At 36.5% G+C, this 6,097-nt stretch overlaps 1 long non-coding RNA gene across 1 annotated transcript; it reads right to left on the bottom strand.

Moving 5' to 3' along the window:
* Window positions 1–2,293: 2,293 nt before the first annotated feature.
* On the bottom strand, window positions 2,294–4,215 carry LOC105374461 (uncharacterized). Its single transcript, XR_001739187.1, has 3 exons — window positions 3,983–4,215; window positions 2,988–3,049; window positions 2,294–2,531 (listed from the first exon to the last, which is right to left on the bottom strand). It is a non-coding gene; the product is annotated as an uncharacterized LOC105374461 (long non-coding RNA).
* Between the last annotated feature and the right edge of the window lie 1,882 nt (window positions 4,216–6,097).

The following is a 6,097-nucleotide window of genomic DNA, read 5'->3' on the forward strand; positions in this document are numbered from 1 at the left end:
GTTTAGAAATAACTCCAATAACTGTTTATATTTTATTTTCACATTGAAAGTCGGTTAGATTTGCTTCAACCTCAAAGAGTGTGTTTATGTAAAATTAAATGAACACCTGCATCGAGCTGCATTTTTTTTTTCTAAATAGGAAATGGGTTAAGGAAGAAAGAGGCCAACAGAGGCCAGTACAGAGGTAATGCAGGTTTTTCCCCCTATAGGTTAATAGTAGAAGCATATCTGGGAAATGAAAAGACAAAACAAAAAAAACAAACCTTGAAAGATGTTTGGTAGGAGGTCTCCTTAAATTTTGTTTTCTTAATATCTATATGGATTACACTTAGAAGATACTAGTCTTGGGGGAATTAGGAGAAAAAATGAAAATGTAAAGTCAGATTATGAATAATTATAGGAAAAGACAGAACTAGGTTGGATAATCTGGCTCGAGAGAAACCAGGAGCCACACTGACATTGATTTTGTTCCTGAAACCCATCCAACCTTTATCATTATGGGTTTTTAATAATAAGCAGTGGAATCTAACTCTTGTTAATTAAACAGAAAATGACTGGCTCACAGATTCTCAGAAAAACTGGAGAAATAGGATTGAATCTAAGCCTCGAAAAATAATACTGAAATGTGTGACAGAGAACTGACGTAATGAGAAAATCATAACTGATGTTGCCATTGGCACTGCTGCCAGGAATTGGACCAAACTCCAGCAGCTACTGAGGCTGTACTAATGCTACTTGTATAGCAGAAACTCCACGTGGCAACTAATGCAGTCCCCCAAGCTGGACAATTTAGGCGTAAACCTGGATGAAAAATGATGGTCCCAGGATCAGCGCTATCTTGAGCACTTATTTTTGTAAATTTTATTTTTAATTGATAAATTGTAATATATATTAATGGGATACTATGTGGTATTTTGATACATGTATACATTGTGAGCAGTACTGAGCCAAAGTTTCAAGTGCTTTTTGCCTGGGGTTGGTGAAGCCTTGGCCACCTGCTTGTATCTAGATGTAGAGGAGGCTGAGAATGCCAGTTTTCTAGATTACTTCTTAAGAAGACTGGACTTTCTAGTCAGAAATTTCCCATCAGTGCAAGTCTTCTAAATATGCTAGGGAATCTAAAAACATTACTCAATATAAACGGCCTTTGCAAGTGCTGCTACTTGTCGAAAGTCTCTTCCTGAAGATCATTAGATGGCTGCCTCTGGAAGTCAGGACTGAAGTTCAATATTACCTCTTTGGGAAGGTCTTCAGCCTGCCTAAAGCAGTCTCCCAACACTTTATGCTCTCTATCAACTGAAGTATCTCATTCATAGTACCTTGCCGGCATCAAAAGTTTAATCTCTTTCTCCCCTCCCCTCCCCTCCCCACTCCTTTTCCCTCCCTCCCTCCCTCCCTCCCTCCCTCCCTCCCTTCCTTCCTTCCTTTTCTTCCTTCTTTCCTTCCTTCCTTCCTTCCCTCCTCCTTTAATCGTCTGCATCTCCCCAGTAGAAGAAAAGGTGCAAGGGTAGAATTCTGTTTTATTCAAAACTCTGTTGTCATCACCAGAGTAGGCCAGGGTGCATGGTAGTGGTGTGGTAGACACTAGATTGAATGGTTTTGAAAAGCAAATATAACAGGAAAGTACTGGACATCTAGAGATCCCAGGGAAATATCTATAGATTGCAGGTTCTACTATATATAGTAGGAATATTAATGGATGTGAGAAACACGCTCACCCATCCAAACCCAAAGAATGGACTTAGAGGCACCAAGAACAGCAAAAGTGAGACTTAATAGTGGTCTTGCAAGATCGGGTGTCTGGTAGGCAGGCACACCCGGGGCAATCACAGCAGGTAATATACCTCCTAGCATGCAAGTCCCTCCCCTACTTCCTCATTAGTCAAATACTATGGGGTTACAATCTTCCCAGACGTCACCTAAGTTTACCCCATCCGCTTCCCCCACTTAAGTTTCAATTTCCCAATAGTGAAACTCTCTTCCCTTTTATGGGCTGACTCCTCCTCTACATTCTGTTCATTTATCGTGACCTTCTAGGAGCACGAGCCGTGCAGTTTGTTACATCTGCAGGCTGGCTGCCAGTGCTTAGATGTATCATGCCTTGAAAATTGACCATTTAAAAGGTTTTCTCACATTGGCTATAAGTGGAAAGAACTACTGGGAAGTGGTTTCTGTGCTCCCCTATACCCTAGTCTCTAGACATACAAGTGTGCAGTTCTCTGAATTGCTGTGAAAAGTTGGTTCTTACAGGGTAAGATTATCATAGTTGGAGATGAGAGAGAAAGCTGTGACTGCATTCAAAGATACTGTCTCAACATTTATTTTTTCTTTCAGTATGGATTGAACAGATAGTGTTAACTTTGTGGCAGGCACTGTACTTACATGATTACATGGGTTTCTTTCTATGCTCTCAATTCTTCAGGTTTTCAAAATTTTTTCCTCTCAAAAGGAAATCAGCCTCCTTGTTGTTAATTTTTTATGTAGTCATGTTTTCCTTCATTGTGATGCTTACATTGATATTGACTAGGCCTCTAAATGTGGGAGAAAACACAATATAAGACTAGAGCTCTTGTCCAGACTGCCTGGGTTCAATTCTCCCATGCATTCTATGTATTAGTTATTTAACTACTCGGCTTCTTCTCTCGGTCATACGACGGAGATTACAATAAGAGCCCTATCACAGGGTAGTCCTGAGTACATGAATTAATATATGTAAAGCAGTTGGAATGCTGCCTGGCAAGTAATAAGCTATATGGAATCGTTTGCTATTATTATTACTTGGAATGGGTTTTTGGTAACTTTATAATTTCTCTGTTGCTTGAGCTTTACTTCCTAAACATTTAAATGACCGATGTGCCCTACTTTCTCTCTCCTGGAATCATTTCTGCTTCCTGCTACTGAAATATTCTCTTGATCCAGTACATTGGCACGAGAAAAGGCCTGGGAAAGATTAGGAGCTTGATCTAGGAACAGATGGAGATGCTCACCAAGAACAATCTTCTCGTTCTTCACTGTTGGACCCAGGCCTGGCCTGTTAACGTTTTTCTCTCTTCCAAAAGATAAAATAGAAAGAGTTCAGCAGACATCCCTAGCCAGATACATTTGTCATGTATTTTCTTTAAGTAAAAAGAACGTTTGAGGCAGAGATAATGTAGAAAGATTTGAATGGTATTAAGTTGCAACATAAAGCTCTCTCTTTATTTAGCAAACACAATAGATTCAGATCATCGAAACTTTACACCTCAGGTCTATAGTCAGCAGCCCCTTAAGTCCTTCCCACTATATCTCCTCTTGTGTTGCAGACCCAGATCTATAGTAATACACAAATAAAATTGATTTTATTTAGTTTTTTTAAAGAATGGTGCCTTATGTATGTGTTGGAGACTAGATGTGTGTATGTGATGTTTGGTCGTGTGTTTATAAGACTATCTGTACTTACTTTAGAGCATTGCTTCTCATACCGGCAAGTAGTTTAGTAAGAAATATGGGCACATACCTAAGCAAAGCCTGCTAATGCTATCTTCTTCCCATGTCTTCAAATGGGGTGGTCCGTTTGAATATATTTAACTACATTTGATTATTCATATTAATTTTGATAAATACTAATACCTTCCATAAGTTTTCAAATCAGCATTTCCTATTTAAAGTTACTTGTAGCTTTACTATTATTTTAAACATTTTACTTAATATGGCTCAAAATGTTGTTCACTAGATTTTTTTCAACACATTTTATATAGAAAGTGAATGTCTGTGTATTTGGTCCTATTGACCTTCTACTTGAATTGTAGGTGTGGAATTACAATTACAGATATGTGGAAGGTGCTCATCTTTTATTGCTGCTTGGATATTTACTCCTACTTAGCAGTAACTTACTCCATGAAAGCTCTAACACTAACATGAATAACAACATCAGAATATAGTCTATTTATTTTCCCATCATCTTTTTCAAGGTAGCCTCCCACAAATTTAGAAAAGTATCTACCTTGCTTAGTCCAAGTTACTTCAGTTACATGAAGGTATTCTGGCATAGCAATAAAACAACCGGAAAGTCCTTTGAGTGTGTTTGAAGTAGACATTTTTCAATACAGTTTCTAATATAAATCTACTGTTTTCTTCTCACGGAGGTGTGAAGGTGTGCAGAGTACCAATAAAGACTTCAGAAACTCGTAAGCACTGTGTGAAGAGTGTTTTTCCTCTGTTCAAGAACAGAATGTTTCAACCTGACAACAAAGATGAGGGTGTCTGTCAGAGATTCAGTTGATAGCTTAAAAAAATTACTACCTACAATTTTTTCTTTGCTGAGTTGAGTTGCAAAACAGTAAGTAGCCACCCTTTGAATGTAAAATGGAAAACAATCATTTTTAAAAATGGCATTGTTTAAAGACAACACGAGAAAAAAAGTGGCCAATATTAAACTCATACTTCAGCTCCAGATTTGCTAATATGCACAGTTACATCTTCTTCTAGGGAAATGTGAGTGCTGCTCACACGATAATTTTAAAATGAATGAACACAGTGAAAGTAGATGAAAATGAGGGTGATAGGGATGCTCAGCTGGAGATCTACCCTCAGGAAGTTGTTTAAAATATTGGCTATTTGGTACCATCTGTTGAATTCTGTACACTAAAAACAATGCTACTCAAAACTCAATTTTTGTGAGCCAGGAATGAAGGATGTCTCTTACAGGGATCATTTAACAGAACTCATTGAACAGGAGGACAACCATCAGTACAATCTCTTCTGACCATTCCACACCACATTAATTTGAAATGGACTGAGAAAATATAAGCATTCATTCATTCCTGCAAACACATAATCCTCAATTTTACACAGTAAGTAGAAGCATCCATCCTATTGTGTGTATAAGTAGGTAAAATAAAAATAGCAATGTGGACAGATGATTTGCTTACTGACTTATGCAGGTCCTTACAGAATTTTGTATAGTATCTCCTCAGTAGTGAGAGGAATTCTATTTTTCTGTTCTGTATTAAATTAAATTTAGAGATTCTAGATTTGCCATTACAGTAGTCACAGTCACCATTATATAGCCTCTTTTCTTGAACTCATCAAATCTTGTTAATGCAAATAGCCAATGATAAGAAAGCAAAGACAGCAAACAAAATCTGTATTTCTTATATTTTTTCATTTTTTATAATTTCCATAGGTTTTGGGGGAACAAGTGGTATTTTGTTAAATGAGGAAGTTCTTTAGTGGTGATTTGCTGCACCCATCACCCAAGCAGTATACACAGAACCCAATTTGTAGTCTTTTGTTCCTCACCCCTTTCTCATTCTTTCCCCTCCAATTCCCCAAGGTCCATTGTATTATTTTTTACGCCTTTGCATCCTGCATCCTTGTAGTTTAGCTCCCACTTTTGAATGAGAACATATGTTGTTTGTTTTTTCATTCCTGAGTTATTTCATTTAGATTAATAGTCTCCAAACCCATTCAGGTTGCTGCAAATGCCATTAATTTATTCCTTTTTATTGCTGAGTAGTAGTCCATCATATATATACCACAGTTTCTTTATCACATTTTTATTGATGGGCATTTGGGCTGGTTCCACATTTTAAGCAAACAAAATATAGAAAGCAAGATTGGTCTTTTATAATTTTGGGATTTTCCAGTTTTTATTGAAGGATTTCACATACTTTTGTTGGTGATGTTGTTTCCTCTGCTTTTTTTTCCCATAGGAAATTATGTGTATGAAATTGATAATTAAGTACACATATTAAGTTCAGTGCTTAGCACAGTGTGTGGCACATAGTAATTATATATGATATATAATATTTGGTGACCAAAATAAGTGAAGGTCAAAAACCCAAGCATTTTCTTGATATGAGAATTTAGAGAATTATAAAATAAAATTAATATTCTTGTTTTGAATAAAATAATGGGAGTATGATGGTTTGTCTACATATATTTGACTGAAGTAGAAAAAAGGATGAAAATTATTTTCATACTATTTTTAATTTTTTAAAGAAACCACTAACTTAAAGTTAACTTATTTTTTCTGAGAAATCTATTTCTAAGTACAATGCATGATTTTATTTACAATCAAGAGCAACAAATATTATATGCACCGTTTGTAAAACAT

The sequence above is a fragment of the Homo sapiens genome, chromosome 2 (genome assembly GCF_000001405.40).
Source record: "Homo sapiens chromosome 2, GRCh38.p14 Primary Assembly".
In the NCBI taxonomy this organism is placed as follows: domain Eukaryota; kingdom Metazoa; phylum Chordata; class Mammalia; order Primates; family Hominidae; genus Homo; species Homo sapiens.